The sequence below is a fragment of the Homo sapiens genome, chromosome 20, assembly GCF_000001405.40.
Source record: "Homo sapiens chromosome 20, GRCh38.p14 Primary Assembly".
NCBI classification, from domain to species: domain Eukaryota; kingdom Metazoa; phylum Chordata; class Mammalia; order Primates; family Hominidae; genus Homo; species Homo sapiens.
The window spans coordinates 37,399,989-37,416,426 of record NC_000020.11 but is presented as its reverse complement, the minus strand read 5'-3'; the positions used below and the strand labels follow the sequence as shown (position 1 = coordinate 37,416,426).

General features: G+C 55.5%; 1 protein-coding gene across 21 annotated transcripts in view, besides 4 other annotated features; it reads right to left on the bottom strand.

The window, feature by feature from the left end:
* Positions 3,404 to 3,912: an enhancer, noted in NCBI's record as "H3K4me1 hESC enhancer chr20:36040918-36041426 (GRCh37/hg19 assembly coordinates)". NCBI's record gives its function as "activates a minimal SCP1, AML or CMV promoter by ChIP-STARR-seq in primed H9 embryonic stem cells {active_cell/tissue: H9 hESC(primed)}" and the evidence as "EXISTENCE:reporter gene assay evidence [ECO:0000049][PMID:30033119]".
* Positions 3,913 to 4,422: an enhancer, noted in NCBI's record as "H3K4me1 hESC enhancer chr20:36040408-36040917 (GRCh37/hg19 assembly coordinates)". NCBI's record gives its function as "activates a minimal SCP1, AML or CMV promoter by ChIP-STARR-seq in primed H9 embryonic stem cells {active_cell/tissue: H9 hESC(primed)}" and the evidence as "EXISTENCE:reporter gene assay evidence [ECO:0000049][PMID:30033119]".
* Positions 8,180 to 9,099: an enhancer, noted in NCBI's record as "H3K4me1 hESC enhancer chr20:36035731-36036650 (GRCh37/hg19 assembly coordinates)". NCBI's record gives its function as "activates a minimal SCP1, AML or CMV promoter by ChIP-STARR-seq in primed H9 embryonic stem cells {active_cell/tissue: H9 hESC(primed)}" and the evidence as "EXISTENCE:reporter gene assay evidence [ECO:0000049][PMID:30033119]".
* Positions 9,675 to 10,064: a silencer, noted in NCBI's record as "silent region_12892". NCBI's record gives its function as "represses an Ori minimal core promoter by ATAC-STARR-seq in GM12878 lymphoblastoid cells {active_cell/tissue: GM12878}" and the evidence as "EXISTENCE:reporter gene assay evidence [ECO:0000049][PMID:35858748]".
* Positions 10,377 to 16,438, bottom strand: part of SRC (SRC proto-oncogene, non-receptor tyrosine kinase) — a 61,352-nt gene continuing 55,290 nt past the window's right edge. For all 21 annotated transcript variants that reach the window (XM_047440399.1, XM_047440400.1, XM_047440407.1 and 18 more), the window contains 5 exons: positions 16,133 to 16,312; positions 14,749 to 14,825; positions 13,839 to 13,992; positions 13,547 to 13,678; positions 10,377 to 13,256 (listed from right to left, as the gene is read on the bottom strand). In XM_047440399.1, the coding sequence (XP_047296355.1) occupies positions 13,048 to 13,256; positions 13,547 to 13,678; positions 13,839 to 13,992; positions 14,749 to 14,825; positions 16,133 to 16,312 (752 nt within the window). In that variant the 3' untranslated portion in view covers positions 10,377 to 13,047. The remainder of the gene's footprint in view (positions 13,257 to 13,546; positions 13,679 to 13,838; positions 13,993 to 14,748; positions 14,826 to 16,132; positions 16,313 to 16,438) is intronic.

Here is a 16,438-nt window from a genome sequence, read left to right as displayed (position 1 = left end):
AGAGAGAGAGGGGCTGGAGAGCTCGGAGCGGCGAGGCAAGGCTCCCTACACCGCCAGGGGCTCCCAGATGATGCACACACCAGGCCCACGCAGGGAGAGGGTCTCAGCTGCGCTCTGTGACGCAGGCCTCGTGCCAGGCAAGGCAGTGACAAGCAGATCCTGACAAAGCCTCCAGGAGGGGACTCAGGGAAGACGAGGGGGAGACGGACAGAGAGAGGGGAGTCGTGATGCCTCCAGAGCCCCCAGAGAGGGAAGGAAGGACACATGGATGGTATCACCCAGACAGACCCCTGCACTCAGGGAGTTCCCCCAACTCATCTCTGCACCCAGGCAGGACTGGCCAGCAGCCCCATACACCGAGACAGACACACAGACAGCCCCCTACAGACAGCTGCCATGCTGCAGGCCTCCCTCCACACCGGCAAAACCGGCCAGCCAGAAACCCACTCCAGGACACACAGACCACCACACACACACCCCAACACAAGAAACACACACACGCACAAATCAGACGCCAGGACTGCCCAACAGCAGAATGCACACACACACACATCTCTCACAGACACGAAGACAGAGGGACAGGCAGACCAGATACGCAGCGCTGACAGACAGAGACAGACAGACAGACGGGGACAGGCCCGCAGACCCTCCCTCAGACAGGCCGAAACACCCCACTGCAGTGGAAAGAGTTGGGTGGGACAACAGGAGGCAGGAGGAAAGAGAGGGGTTCACTAGAAGAGAGAAGTCACAGCTGAGGAGGAGCGTATGAGCCTACGGCCCGCGGCCCAGCACACTCCACTGGAGTCTCCCCACCAGACCAGGGACCAGGGCCGCGGATCTGCCTCCGTATCCCTAAGTCCGCCCCCTGTGGGTGCTGGGTCAGGGAGCATCTACCAAAGGCACGACCAAATTTGCCTGCTGTGAGCCAAGTGCAGGCCAGAGCACTGCACGGGCTGCTGCACTGCAGGAGGTGACAGGTGACAGAGACTCCAAGGAGGGGACTAGAGCACAGCCCAGGAGGGGACATGAATCCCAAGGCAAGGTGCTGGGGAAGGGACGGGGCGAGACCCATTGGGGGACCACATGGACCGGACGTGGGCGGGGAGGGGAAGCGGACCAGCCCAGGGTCTGAGCTGGGTGCTGCCAGGTAGTGGGCATATGAGGCGGGACACCCCAGGCTTTGGCAAAGAGGGGTGTGTGAGTCCATCGTGAGGTGCCCATGGAATGTCCGGAAGGTTGTATGCAGGGAGGGCTGGAACTCAGGGGATGGAGGTGGGGTGGTCCCTACAAAGGGGGAGCTGAGCCCCAGAGTGGGGACAGTCACCAGGCGTGGTGGGAAGGGAGAAGAGGACAAGGAACAACAGTATGTTAGAAGGCCAAGGCTCGGAGAAGGAGTCCTCTGGAAGCAGGGCAGGCTTAGGGGACCAATGTGTCTACAGTCAGATGCCAGAGAAGTTGAGGAAGATGAGGACAAGGTCATGTCTGCAGGGAGGTAGGCGAGGTGCTGGTGAGAGCCATGCGGGAGGTCAGGCACAAATCGCAGCTGGAGTGAGTGAGAAGGAGGTACGGACAGCAAGACAGCTCAGGATGTGGAGGGGAGGGATGGGGTAGGGGCTTGAAGGGGGCTGGGGGTTGCTCTGCAGCGGAAGAGATGGACCGTGATGAGTGGACAGGTCTGGGCTCGGCTCGGAGATCCTGGCTAGAGACCCCGATGTTGGCAGCTTATGTGTGGAGCAAAGGGAGTTGGCAGAAGGGAATGGGGGGATGCCAGGGGCAGGAGGAGGCGGCCAGAGCTGGCATGGAGACGGACAGGCCGGCACATGCCCAGGGTGAGAGCCAGCCTGCGCCCATCCCTCAGAGACAGCGAGGGGAGGAAGGAGGGGTGGAAGAGCCAGAGAGAGACACGGGGCTGGGCTACCCTGGAACAATCTCGATGGAGCCCCCAGGAGTGGGAGAGAAAGGGAGGAAGGCAGAGGTGGGGGAAGGAGAGCGAGGGGGGAGGTGGTGGGCAATCGGGGAGACGCGCGCACACACACACACACACACACACTCCTACAGGGACGCACAGAATAGAAGCAGAATTCAATAACAACTTGGAGAGGGAGCGGAGCGGGAGAGAGCAGGCAGGGAGGGTAGTAGGGGAGGGAGGTAGGCACACGCGGAGCCCGTCTTAGGAGGTGTTCAATAACCGCTGATGGAGCGCAGGAACAAAGACAAGGGGCTCCCAGAGGGAAGCAACAGCTGAGAAAGTTGCAGGATAGACAGACAGACAAAATGTCACGCATACACACAGTGAGAAACACCCCGAGCCTCAAGGGGCGGGTGGGAGGGAGCCTGCACTCGAGGGCCAGGACGGTCTGTTTCTTGCTCCGGGTGGTGGAGGCACAGGTGCAGACACATGTGAAATTCATCAAAGCTTTTCATTTCAGATTTGTGCATCTTACGATATGTAAGTTAGATCCCAATTCTTTGAAATGAGAGGAAGAGGATAAAAGGTGGAAGGAAAGGTGAATGCGTCAGACAGGGAGACAGGAACAGACACACACACACAGGTACCAGTGATGCCCAGGGAAGAACAAAACCCGACCAAGTCAGAGGAAAAAGGAAATAAAATGGAACCTGACCAGGAGAGAAAGACCGACTCCTAGACCCCCACATGGAAAAGGAGAGGCCCCTGGGAGACCTGAATTGGGGGTAGGGGATTTATAAGGCAGGAAGGAAATCGCCTTGAGCTAGAGGGGGGCATAAGAGAGTGGCAGGGGAATGGCCCGGCAGGGGTGACCTGCTGGAAGTGGAGTGAGGCTGCATGAGGCCCCCTGATGAGGGAAGGAGCCAAACAGGATGCCAAGCCCAACGGGCCTTGAAGGGTTTGGGGCCGGGTGATGGGTGTGGGGCCCAGGAGGCAGCTTTGTTCTCAGGTCCCGGTCCAGAACCCACAAGCGGGGAGGGATGGAGATGGAGAGGTGAAGAGGGTGGGCGCTGAAATGGCCCCGCAGGAGGGTGCAGGGGGGCGGGTGACAAGAGTGCAGGCCCAGGAAAGGGGTGGGGAGGTAGAAAAGGGCCCACAAATAACTCTTGGACAGACAGACAGATGGATAGATGGATGGATGGACAGAGCACCCTCTCTCATCTGCAGAGGGAAAGCAAAGCCTCAGAGATGATGCAGAAAGAGACAAGGAGAGGTTTAGGAGAAGTGGAGAGAGAGATGGATCCGGGCAGGTGTGCAAAGGTCAAGATGCAGCCAGAGAGAGCAAAGGGAAGAGGAGATCTGTCTCTCTGTCTCTCCCCCTACACCACACACACACGCGCGCGCGCGCACACACACACACACACCTGTGTGCACAACTCACAAGAGCTGTTCTGCATGTGTGGACCAAAGGAAAGTACAAAGGAAATTACCCCAGGGTGAGAGTGAAGGATTAGGTACAGTGGCAGAGATGATGCCCTGACAGCTTGTCACATACTGGTTCACGTGCACAGACCTCGCCCTGTGAACCCACACACATACAGCCAGGGCAGATTTCAGAGTGCCTTAGAGACTGGCGAGAACAGGTGGGAAGGAGGGAGAAGTGGAGACACACACACACACACACACAGCCCAGTACACAGGAGAGATGTAGAGGTGTTGATTGAACTGAGGGACAAGTGCAAGGGACTCAGAATGAACACAAAAGCCAAGCCCTGCAGAAAGGGGGCCAGGGAGGGGCTGCTGTGACCCTCCACACACACACACACACACACACACACACACACACATGCACATTCTCTCTCTCTCTCTCTCTCACACACACACACACACACACACAGGCGGGAGCAGCTGCTCCGAGACGAGTGTTTTGGGAAGAGCTGTGAAAGTGAAAGAAACAAACCCTCAGCCGATGGCAGCGACCCCAACGCTGGAGCAAGGGGAGGCAGCTGCTGCCCACGCCGGAATCCCACCAGCCTGCAGCCACGGTAGGCAAGAGCCTCGGGGAACAATGAGGAGCCAGACCTGTTAGCTGCACATACACATACTCACGCCTGGGAGGACCCTGTGAGTGTGTGTGTGTAGGGGGGCGCTTAGGAAATGAATGGGAGGTGGAGTCATGGCCAAAACTGTTGGAAAGAGAGCAAGAACACACACACACTCATTCATACACATTCACAAGACGCACACATACACACACTCACACACATAAACACACAGTCATGTACACACATACACACACACATGCACTCACACGCACACTCAGGTACATACACTCACATGCACACATATACACAATACATACACACTCACATACACATACACATGTACACTCACACAGGCACATACACTCACATGCACACTTACACACACACCCCACACACACACATACACGACTTTGCAGCCACTTCCTAACGGGAACAACTAATTAGTGCCTGAGTGGGCTAGGCTAAAACCAACAGGCAAAGATAGAAACAAAGAGACAAAGACTCAGACAACAGAGAAACAAAACAAAAGACAGAGGGAGAAAAACAGACACAGAAACGGAGCCAAAGACAGGAAAAGAGAGAGAGAAAAGGAGAAAGAGAACGACCCAGTGAGAGAAGTGTGCCCCGGCCACCAGGGCTGCCTCATGGGAATGGCTCAATCAGGATTTTACGAAGGAGCAAGTGAAAGGAAAGGAAAGGAAGGGGGGAAGGGAAGGGAAGGGAGGGGAGGGAAGGGAAGGGAAGGGAAGGTAAGGGAAGGGAAAAAGAAAGGAGGAGAGGCCTCGATGGGTGGGAGGGGCATCAGCACAGCCGTCGCTGGATGCAGGCAACCGCAAGGGACCGCAGGCCACGGCCACACCACACACAGGCCGTGCTGCACACACACTGTACCACATCCACACCACCCAAACCATGCAATACACAACCATGCAACACACGCATCACACACCACACACACCGCAGACCACACTCACACCTGGACTGTGGTAGAGAAGGTGTGGGGATTGGGGGGGACAAAGGGAGGGTGAGGAAGGGGGGACCCAGACCTGAGCATGCCACGTGCACACACACACTCATACACAGACACACTCACACACACAAATGCAGGAAGCCCAGAGAAAAGACAAAATGCCAGCAAAACCTCAGAGAGGAGAGGGAAGGAGACAGAAGGCAAATACAGGAGAGACAGGTGCCGGCTGTGCACTTGTCACCCTCTCTTGGTGTCTGTCTGTCTATATGTCGGCCTGGCCCTCTCTCTCACTCCCTCCCATACACACACACACACACACACACACACACACACACACACACCCTGCTGGGCAGGAGCAGCTGCTACATGGTGTTCTAGGAAGAACCAAGGGGGAGAGGGAAAACAACCACCACCCATAGCAGTGACCCCAATGCTGGAGCAAGGGGAGGCGGGCAGGCAAAGGGTCGGGAGCAGGGAGCATGGCCCACCCTGGAAAGCTCACAGCCTGCAGATCTGGGAGAGCAGGAGACCTGGGGAAAGATGAGGAACCAAGACCCCTGCTCCCTGGCAGACACGCCAACGCACAGACACAGGGACACACACAGGTGTTTGTTGCAGGAATGAATGAATGAATGAATGAGGGGACCCCGGAGAAAGAGACAAACCTGTTATGGTGAAAGAGATGAACATAAGCCAGGCACAGTGGCTCATGCCTGTGATTCCAGCACTTTAGGAGGCTGAGGTGGGCGGATCTCTTGAGCCCAGGAGTTCAAGACCAGCCTGAGCAACAGAGTGAGACCCTGTTTCTACTAAAAAAAAAAAAAAAATAGCCGGGCATGGTTGTGCACGCCTGTAGTCCCAGCTACTCAGGAGGCTGAGGTAGGAGGATCACTTGAGCCCAGGAGGTTGAGGCTGCAGTAAGCCGTGATTGCACCGCTGCATTCCAGCCTGGGAGACAGAGCAAGACCCTGTCTCAAAAAAAAAAACCAAACAAACAAACAAACACAGAGAGATGGACACAGAGATGAAGAGGGAGGATGTGGCGTGCGTGTGCATGCACACATGCACACACACATACACACACACGCATCGTCTTGCTTTAATGCACTAACACAAGGACAAACTGCAGAGGCAAAATGAAGAAGACAGACACAGAGAGGGTAGAAGGCGGGGAGCATACACAGCCTGCCCGGCATGGCATTCGCCCAGGCCTGGCAAGAGGAGGGGATCAGTGAATCTATAGCCCATGCACCATACTTTTGGGACCCCAAGAAAATGTTCCAATTTCTTTTAAAATCAGAAGAAAAACGAACTTTTAACTCAAAGAAAATGTCTCAGTATGTCCTATTAATATATTCGTGTTGATACCAGTGCTATCGTAACATGTAATTTTTAATTTTCTTTTCTAAGGAAAGGGCCAAGGTGTCTAGGCCCACGAAGGTCCAAATGGGACTCCAGCTGGGTGCCCAGCCTGCGATAAGACCAAGGCCAGGACAGATCTCACTGCAGGGAGTATCAGAGACAAGGGAACCCAGCAAAGGGGGTTATCAAGAGGGCTTCCCAGAGGAGGTGGGATTTGCAGGCTGAAGAAAGGAAAGATGTCGGCCAGGTACAATGGCTCATGCCTGTAATCCCAGCACTTTGGGAGGCTTAGGCGGGCAGATCATGAGGTCAAAAGATCAAGACCGTCCTGGCCAACCAACATGGTGAAACCCTGTCTCTACTAAAAATACAAAGATTAGCTGGGTATAGTGGCGCACTCCCGTAGTCCCAGCTACTCGGGAGGCTGAGGCAGGAGAATCGTATGAACCCGGGAGGCAGAGGTTGCAGTGAGCCAAGATTGCGCCACTGCACTCCAGCCCGGACAACAGAGTGAGACTCTGTCTCAAAAAAAAAAAAGAAAGGAAAGATGTCAGGCAGAGGCACCATGAGCAATGCCTGCATGGTGGGGATCAGGATGACACAGGTCAGCCTGTGCACAGGCAGGTGGGGGAGACACAGGGCTCTGAGTGGGGCCAGAAGTGGTAAGAGGAAATGAAAGCCCACAGCAGAGCGTTAAGTGAGAGAAGGCTGAGCCACCCAGGGCATGTGGCTCTGTGCCAGAGGTCCCCCTGCTGACGGAGTGGGAGTGGACAAGTGAGTTGAGTTTTCGGAGGTTGCAGGTAAGATGTCCAGGGATGGTTGCCAGGGAAATTGTCCAGGAGGCAAGCCTTGAGGCTGAGGCTGGACCAGGATGGGGAGTGAGGAGAAGAACACCCCCAGATGCCAAGTCCAGGAGCCTCTGGGACAGGGGAAGTGAGGTGAGCAAGAGATTCATGCACAGACACACATGTACACAGGTGCATACACGTACACAGATGCAAACACACACTGACACGGTGGCAAGAACAGGAGGGAGGGAGAAGGGGAAGTCAGGTGGGAGGCAGATGGACAGCCACAAAGGCACAGAGATCTGGATACATGGACACATGCACACGTGCCCACACACACAACCTGGGGGTGGAACAATCAAAGAAAGAGATGAGCATTTAATGAGACCACAGCAAGAGGCAGGCGGGAGGCAGAGGCTGACACACAGACGGACAGATGGACACGGCCCCAGGATCCCAGGAGACACGCTCCAAGGGCTGGGTGGGAAAAGCCCCAGAAAGGGGAGGGCTGCGGGGAGTGAGAATCGGGATGGACCTCACAGACGACAAACAGATGGACAAAAAGCTTCTCTCCCTGCCGCTCCCTCCCCGCCACCAACTCCAGCCCCTCTGTCTCCATCCCCTTTTCCTGTCTGTCCTGTCTGAATCTCTGAATCTCTGCCTGTCTCTTTTTCTCTCTATGAATCACAGCGTTTCAGAGCCTCTGAGAGAAAAATGGGAAAAGAAGACAGAGATGATAGAAAATGCAGAGTGTGCGTGTGTGTGTGTGTGTGTGCATGTGTATGCGCGCGTGTGTGTGTGTGTCTGTGCATGCGTGCACCCAGCATGAAGTCTGGTCTGGAGAATGTAACTAGGGAGGGAGGAAGAGAGGGGACGAGAGAAGCAGAGGATGAACAAAGAGACTTTCGAAGCTCATAGGAAAAAGCCTGGGAGGCAACAGCAGCAGGGACACGCATATGCCGCACACCCCTACACACACCACACACCACACACCACACACACCCTGCATGCACCCTGGAGACATGCCCCAGACTCCAGGCGGGAGGGGTGGAGCAGGGGGTGTGAAATATGGTTGGTTGGTTGGTTTGTGTTTTCCTGTATCTTTCCTATTTTGCCAGAAAGAATATATATTCTTTTTTTGTCATGGGGGAAACATTTTAGTTTTCTCAAAAAGAAAAAAATGCATGCAGAATTAAGAGTAAAACCAACTGAAGGCAGAAAGGAAAGGCTGAGGGGGCATGGAGCCCTGGGGTCTCATATCCCCGGGAGACACCTGGACACTACACAGGGCCGAAGGAGGGGACAGCGGGGCCAGGAGACTGTGGCCCAGCAGAGTGGATGACATCTCTCGCCTCTGCACTCCATCTCTGTGTGTCTATCTCTGTCTCCCTTACACACCGAGTCCAGCACAAGCCAACTGGACACAGGCCCAGAGTGAGGAAGTCCCAACCGGAGAAGGAGCCAGAGACAGGAGTGGGAGAGGCAGAGCGACTTTCCCGCCTGCCTTCCCTGAGCAGACATTACCAATGTGGCGGGACCTGGGATCACTAGGGAGAACGTCACCCAGTCCCTCAAGCGCTTGTTCTAGTGGGCGGGCTGACACGCTCTGCGGATTCCAGGGCGTCAGGGAGAGCTCCCAGGGCCGGTCTGTGGCCTCGGAGATGTGCTTTGCAGGATGAATAGGAGTTTGCCAGGTTGTAGAGAGGGAAGAAAGGGCATTCTCAGCGGTGAAAACAGCCTGGGCAAAGGCATGGAGGTGTGGGAGGGCCTGGGAAGAGTCAGAGATGTGAAGAGGTGGATGGGGAGAAAAATCTGAGAGGCAGAAAGGGAGGGTGGGGACTAGAGAAAGAGAGACAGCACCCAGGCAAAGAGGAAAAGAGACAGAAATTAGCAACAGTGAGACAGAGAGACACATAGAGAAAGAAAAGGAAAATCAGCCAGGCATAGTGACTCACACCTGTAATCCCTACACTTTGGGAGCCGGAGGGGGCAGATCACCTGAGCCCAGGAGTTCAAGACCAGTCTGGGCAACATAGCAACACCCCGTCTCTACAAAAAAAAAAAAAAAAAATTAGCCGGGCTATGAGGGCACACAGCTGTGGTTCCATCTACTCGGGAGGCTGAGGCAGGAGAATGGCTTGAGCCCAGGAGGTGGAGGTTGCAGTGAGTCACTGCACTCCAGACTAGGGGCAGAGCAAGACTCCATCTCAAAAAAAGGGAGGGAGGGAGGGGAAAGGGAAATAAAGAAAAAGAAAAGGAAAGAGAAAGAAAGAAAAAAGCAAGGAAGGCGGGGTGTGGGATTTTTAAAAACCTACATATTAGGTGCAACGTACGCTACTCGGATGACGAGTGTACTACAAAATTCACCCCTACATAATTTATCCAAGTAACCAAAAAACCACTTGTAACCCCAAAAGCTACTGAAATTTTTAAAAATTAAAAAAGAAGAAACAGGAAATTGATGTAAGGCCAGAGAGGGCTGGAGAGGCACTGACAGACAAGAGAGAGGAAGAGAGAGAAAGACTCAGATGGACAAGGAAGAGGAGAGAGGCCGCGCGGTGGCCGGTCCCTCCTGTCCCGGCGCGCGGGGTTGGGGTTGGACCCTGCCGCGCCGCGCATGCGCATGCGCACGCCTGACCCGCCGCGGCAGCGCGGGCGAGCGCTTTGTCCCGGTTGCGCTCGCACGTGGCCCTGCGCCCCCGGGCACACGTGGGTCCCGCCGGGAGTGGCCAGCGCTGGGGGTGCGAGCCCAAGCTCACACGGGTCCACGGGCACACATGCTGTTCCCACCCACATCCACGTGAACCCAGCTGCACACCTCGGTGCCCACACACTCCAGGAGCCCACAGGCTCATGAAGCCCCTGGATCTGTGTTCACACAGTACACACACATTCTGCACACACAGCCAGAGCAAGCGGACCGGCTCACCTCATCGCGTTAATGCCCAAGCACACACATCTGGGACGCATTTCCATGAGCCCAGGCTCACAGACCACCTAGACAAGTGCTCACACACAAACATCCAAGCACCATGTCTGCGAACAAACAGAGCCCACGCACATACCCCCATGAACACAAAGGCACACGCATCCAGGTATACTCCCACCAGCAAGCAGAGAACACCTGCCACAACCTCACATCCAGAACTCCATCTCTACTCCTAAGACACACGCACACCCACACCCACACACACACACACACACACCCGCCCCCTGCGATCTCCAGATGCCACCCAGATGCCACCCTGACCTGGACACTATGATGTGTTTGGCTTGTGAAAATAATACTGAACAGAAAAATGTCCAGTTTTTGAAATTTGTTTTTAATTAAGCAATGTCGTGGCCAGAGTTGACTCCGGTGCACAGGTGTGTGATCTGATGTATATTTGTGTAAAATAAATGTGTTTGTATAGACGGTTGCAAATCAACCTTCAAGACTGTGTGCTTCGGTGGTGGGGAAGGAGGGAGGAGGGGAAGGGTCTTTGGATTTTTCTTCAGCGTTTTCAGGACTTTTGTGGATCGACCCAGCACCCCTGCCCTGCACTCCTAGGAAACACACGAAGAGCACACACAACGGTATTCTCGTCGTGTATTTGTGATCTCCTCTAGGCAGGCTTGACAGCCCCACCCACTCCCCAATGTCACTGCTACCATCCACCACGGACATTTGAGTCCTGAACTTGTCATGCTCAGGGAAGTCCTGTGATGTGCCTTGTCCTTCTCCCAGGTGCTCACCCCCTAACACAGGTGCAGATGTTCACAAACAGCCACATTCTGCCGTAGCTGTCTCCAATCTGATGTCACCCCTGCCTTGGCCTGAAGCCCTCCAGCTACTAGTGCTGCCCAAAGACCCCTCAAGGGGTAGTTTGTTCTCGCATTCCGCCCCATCTCGCTTTCCAGCACACAGTAGATGTTCAATAAACTGTTGATCAGATTCTGAGGTCTGTTTGTGTTTAATCAGACAATATGCAAAGTATTTACAACCAATTCTGGATACCCCCCCACCCCCCGCAAGTCTGGGCCTTGGAATTTCGGAGCCCCAGGCCCGGCCCAGAGCCAGGGGTCCCCCAGGCCTCTGCATAGTCATCTGAAATCTACAAAACACTGTTAAAAAAAAAAAAAGGACAGTATTAAGACACCTTACACAAAGGGCCTTAGGCAGTTGGAGAGGGATTTGAGAGCTCGCTGGGGTGAGTGAGCCCAGATTTGACTGGAATGGACGGGAGAAGACTTGGGTAATAAAGACGTATGAAAGGAAAAGTTGAAATTTCATAGGCAGGCACTGCTTGGCCTCCTTCCCCACTGGCAGGGCCTGGCTGGCTCAAGAACCCCTGGCAGTGGGAATGTTATTGCTATGATGAGGGGGCCATGGTGAAATGTACAACATGTTTGGGGGACGGAGCGGGGGGGACATTTTTACATGTTAAATATGGACGCACATGGAGACACGCACACATGCACACACATACACACACACAGGGACCCTTGGCAAGATGCCACAAACTGTCAGCTGCCCCTTTACAGATGGGCACACTGAGGCCCAGGGAGAATCCACCACACACCCAAAGGCCGAACAGAGCCAGAGCCCAGTCTCCTGATGTCCCAGGGCTAGGCTCACCATGTGTGTCCTGCCACAGGGCCTGGACCAGAGCTGAGCAGTTGCAGAGGCCATGGCCACATGTGGGGCAGACTCTGCAGCCCAGAGAGACAGCAGGGGCCACCCAAGGTTACACAGCCAGTCCTGGTGCATGGCAGTGGGTAACACGTCCTCTTTCACCCCCGCTTAGGCACTCTTTTCCCTCCTCATGAGTTAAAGGGTGCCGACTTGGGGAGGAGAACAGGGCCAGGAATTGAAATGCCACGGGACAAAGTACGGGGAAGGAGGCCAGGACCAGGGCCTCCTGGACTCTTGGCTCTTCTATGTCTGCTTGATTGCCTCCAGAGCCGAGGGGCTCGCTCCCTTTCATAGCCGGCTGGCTCTGAAGGTCAAACATCACCCACAAGCCGATTGAAGCCTCTCTCTCCACACCTGCACCTTTTACCCTGATTCCCCAGCTCAGCCCCACATCTGCCTCCATGCTGTTCCCAACAGCTGGGCTGAGCGGGCAGCGGCAGTGGGAATCTGCCATCTCGAATGCATCCTCAGACCCCTTGTTTCCTGGGCTGTCCCAGTCTTTCCATGATGCCTCCGACGAATTGTTGGTTCCTGAGGATGACAGAGGGAGCACCGGGTTCCAAGCCCGCCTCCACTCTGAACTGCTCCGTGGCCTTGGGCATGTCACATCCCCGCTCTCAACTGTCTCCCCATGGGTGAAATGGGGGCAAGGAAGTGATGATCTCGAAGGGTCCCTCAGGTCTAAGGAGGGCAGGGTTTGAGGGGGTACTCATCCCACCCACCCACCATCATCAGGCCAGGCAAGGCCTTGTGCTGCCCAGCCTGGAAGCAGCGGCAGAGGGTCTGTCTCGGCAGCCTCTGCCTACAGGTGTTTCCAGAATGGATGGCAAGGGGCAGGGTGGCAGGCAGGCGGGGCCAGGGGCCCATCGCTCCTCTTTGGAAAGGCTCTTTGGCCAGCTCTCGACATAGACCGGGGGTGGCACAGAAGTGGGGAAGGAGTTCAGTGAGCGGAGTAGGCTGAGGCTGGAAAAGGGCACCCTCAGCCCCGGCCCCAGCCCTTCTCCTGGTTCCTCTTCCAGAGACCCACAGAGCTCCAGGAGGGAGTGCAGGGAGAGGCGTGCGGCCACAGCGGGAGCTGGACAGAGTCACCGTGCTGGTCTCGCATACCCACCGCCCTCTCAGGCCACCCTAGGTCCAGAAGCCCCTTCCATGCCACCAAAGAGGAAGGGCCTCGCCCCTGGCAATTCAGCCCCACAGAGAGAGGACCAACAGCAGGCAGGCAGAGTGGGGCAAGCCCCGAGACAGGGGCCACCCAGCCCAGGATCCAAGCCGAGAAGCCGGTCTGGGCCCGCCTGTGCCTAGAGGTTCTCCCCGGGCTGGTACTGGGGCTCGGTGGACGTGAAGTAGTCCTCCAGGAAGGCCTGCAGGTACTCGAAGGTGGGCCGCTCCTCAGGCTCCTTCCGCCAGCACTGGCACATGAGGTCGTGCAGGGACTCGGGACACTCCGGCGGGCAGGGCATCCGGTAGCCCCGCTCCACCTGGTCCAGCACCTCGCGGTTCACCATCCCTGTGGGCAGAGCGAGGCATGGGGAGCCCGGCTCCGGTGAGGAAAGTGGGGTGGGGGAAGCTGATGGGGAGGGCAGCGAGGGCTTCCTGCCTAGGACAGGTTGGGAGTGACCATAGATAAGTCCTGTCCCCGAAGCTGAGAGCATGGACCATCGAGAGAGCCTAACATCAGACGCTCAACTTCTTTGTTTTACGGGTGGGGAAACAGGCCCAGCAGGAGTCATGACTTGCCCAAGGCCACCAGGGCAGAGGGATTCAGGGACCACAGACAGGCCATGAGGACCTTCTTACCAGGGTAGGGCACCCGTCCCTTTGTGGTGAGCTCAGTCAGCAGGATCCCGAAGGACCACACGTCCGACTTGATGGTGAAGCGGCCATAGAGGGCAGCTTCTGGAGCCGTCCACTTGATGGGGAATTTGGCACCTGCAGGAACGAGAAAGGTCAGGGCAGCTCTGACCTCCTGTCATGACCGCTCTGCTAGATAAGCACCATGAGGAATGACAGCTGAGGAAAAAACTGGGGCTCAGAGCGGGACGTGACCTGTCCCAGGCCAAGCGCGACATACCACACAGCCCCTGCCCACCTTGCCGCGCCGTGTACTCATTGTCTTCAATGAGCCGAGCCAGCCCAAAGTCCGCCACTTTGCACACCAGGTTCTCTCCCACCAGGATGTTGGCTGCACGAAGGTCCCGGTGGACGTAGTTCATCCGCTCCACGTACGCCATGCCTGAGGCGATCTGCAGGCGGAACCGTGGGAGCCTGGCTCAGGTGCCACCCATGCCCTCCCAGGGCCACAGAGCACTCTGGGGCTGGAGAGCCAACCACCCCTTCCCCACCCTCCCCACACTTCTTCAGGCAAGTGAGGTCAGTTCACAGTAAATGCTGTTGGCATCGAAAGCAGGAGCAGTGCTCTGCGGGAGTAGGGAGCACAGGGCACAGAGCAGAGGGCAGAAGGCAAAGGTCAAAGGGGAGGCACGAGATCCGATGCAGCCAGGAAAGCGAGGTGACCAGGGAAAGAGGCCCCAGCGGACCCAGACACAGATGAGTGCCAGGTCCTGCCTGCTGCCCAAGTCCCCTCTCTGAGCCTCAGTTTTCTCATCCGTCCAATGGGAATAACAGCCAATCCTCGTCACTCCTGGTCGTGATGAGGATTAAATGAAAAAAAAAAAGGCTTGTTGACCACTGCCTACAGCAAGCATGAACACGTCTGCTAAGCGACTAAATGACCTTTACAGAGACGACAACTGAGGCCCGAGGTCCCACAGTAAGTCAGTGACCCCTGATGCCCAGGTAAGGGCCTTCTGCTGCCCAGAATCACCCCTCAGGGCACCTGTAAGCAGACCTGGTAAATACGTGCGGCAAGATCAGTGAGTGTGGAGGCAATCAAGGCAGGCTTCTTGGAGGGGGCACTCAAGAGGCCAGAACTGGCTGCACCAGATGGGTCTGGGTGCTTGAGGACCAAGGGTGTGGGGAGGCGGGAGGGGCTGACTCACCTGAGCAGCCATGTCCACCAGCTGAGGCAGCCGCAGGTACTTGCCTGTCTCCCCCTTGAGAAAGTCCAGCAAACTCCCTGGGCAGAGAGAGACCCAGCTCCAGCTCCTGCCCTGTCCCTCTGCCAGGATGCAGTGATTCCCAAAACCCATCCTCCCAGGTGGCTGGCCTTGCTTTAACCAGCACAGCAGATTTTACGTAAACTCATCTCTGAATAAAGTCTCACTCAGTGCTTGTCACTCAAAAGGCAAGCAGGATGGGAAACAAGCAGAAGTCCACCTCCAGGTGAACAGGTAAACTGTGCTAATGCAGACAGCGGAGTCCCGCTCAGCAACAACAGGAACAAACTGCTGGGAGATGCAACAAGGATGCATCTCAGGCCGGGAGCAGTGGCTCCTGCCTGCAATCCCAGCACTGTGGGAGGCCGAGGTGGGAAGATCGCTTGAGCCCAATAGTTTGAGACCAGCCTGAGCTACACAGTAAGTCTCTGTCTGTACAAAAAATACGAAAAAAAAAAGTAGCTGGGCAGGATGTTGTGCACCTGTAGTCCCAGCTACTTGAGAGGCTGAGATGAGAAGATCAATTGAGCCTGGGAGGTCAAGGCTGCAGTGAGCTATGATCACGCCACTGCACTCCAGCCTGGGCAACATAGCAAGACCTCATCTCAAAAAATAAAAAATTGAAATGTAAAAAGTAAAAAAACAATGCATCCCAGATGTAAAAGATTCCATGTATGAAATTCTAGAATAAACAAAACAAATTTATAATGACAGAAAGCAAATCAGTGGGTGCTTGGGTTTGGGGCTGGAGGGTACTGTCTGCAAAGGGCATGAGGAACTTTCTGGGTGATGGAGATGTTATATATCTTCATTATGGTTAGGGGTACACAGTAAATCCAGTTGTTAAAACCCACTGAACTGAACACTTAAAAGGGGTGTATTTTATCATATGTAAACTATACCTCCAAAAAGTGGAATTTTGAAAAATAACTAATTAGTTTAAAAATTACTGTGGCTCACACCTGTAATCCCAGCACTTTGGGAGGTGGAAGTGGGAGGACTCCTTGAGCCCAAGAGTTCGAGACCAGCCTGGGCAACATAGGGTCCCATCTCTACAAAAAATAAAAAATTAGCTGGGCCTGGTGACACACACCTGTGGTCCCAGCTACTTGGGTGGCTGAGGTGGGAGAACTGCTTGAGCCTGGAAGGTTGAGGCTGAAGTGAGCTATGATTGCACCACCACACTCCGGCCCAGGCAACAGAGAATTTGGCTCTACTGCATTCCACCTTTGAAGATGCCCATTCTAGACATGAGAGGAAATGAGGCTCATGCTCCCTGCCCTGTCCGGAGTGCCCCTGCCCCCTGCCCCGGCCGCCCAGGACTCACCCTTGCTCATGTACTCCGTGACGATGTAAATGGGCTCCTCTGAAACCACAGCATACAACTGCACCAGCTTCTCATGCCTCAGCTTCTTCATGACCTGGGCCTCCTGCAGGAAGGCCTCTGGAGACATCGTGCCAGGCTTCAGGGTTTTGATGGCCACCCTGGTGGTACCGTTCCAGGTCCCTGTTGAGGAGGGATGCAGGCTGACTCAGTGGAGCCCCCCAACTCCTACCACACAGGGATCCAGGATCTGCCCACCTGGGCGCCAGTGTCAGCTGTGGCCTCCACAGCCATGTGACAAACCCAGTC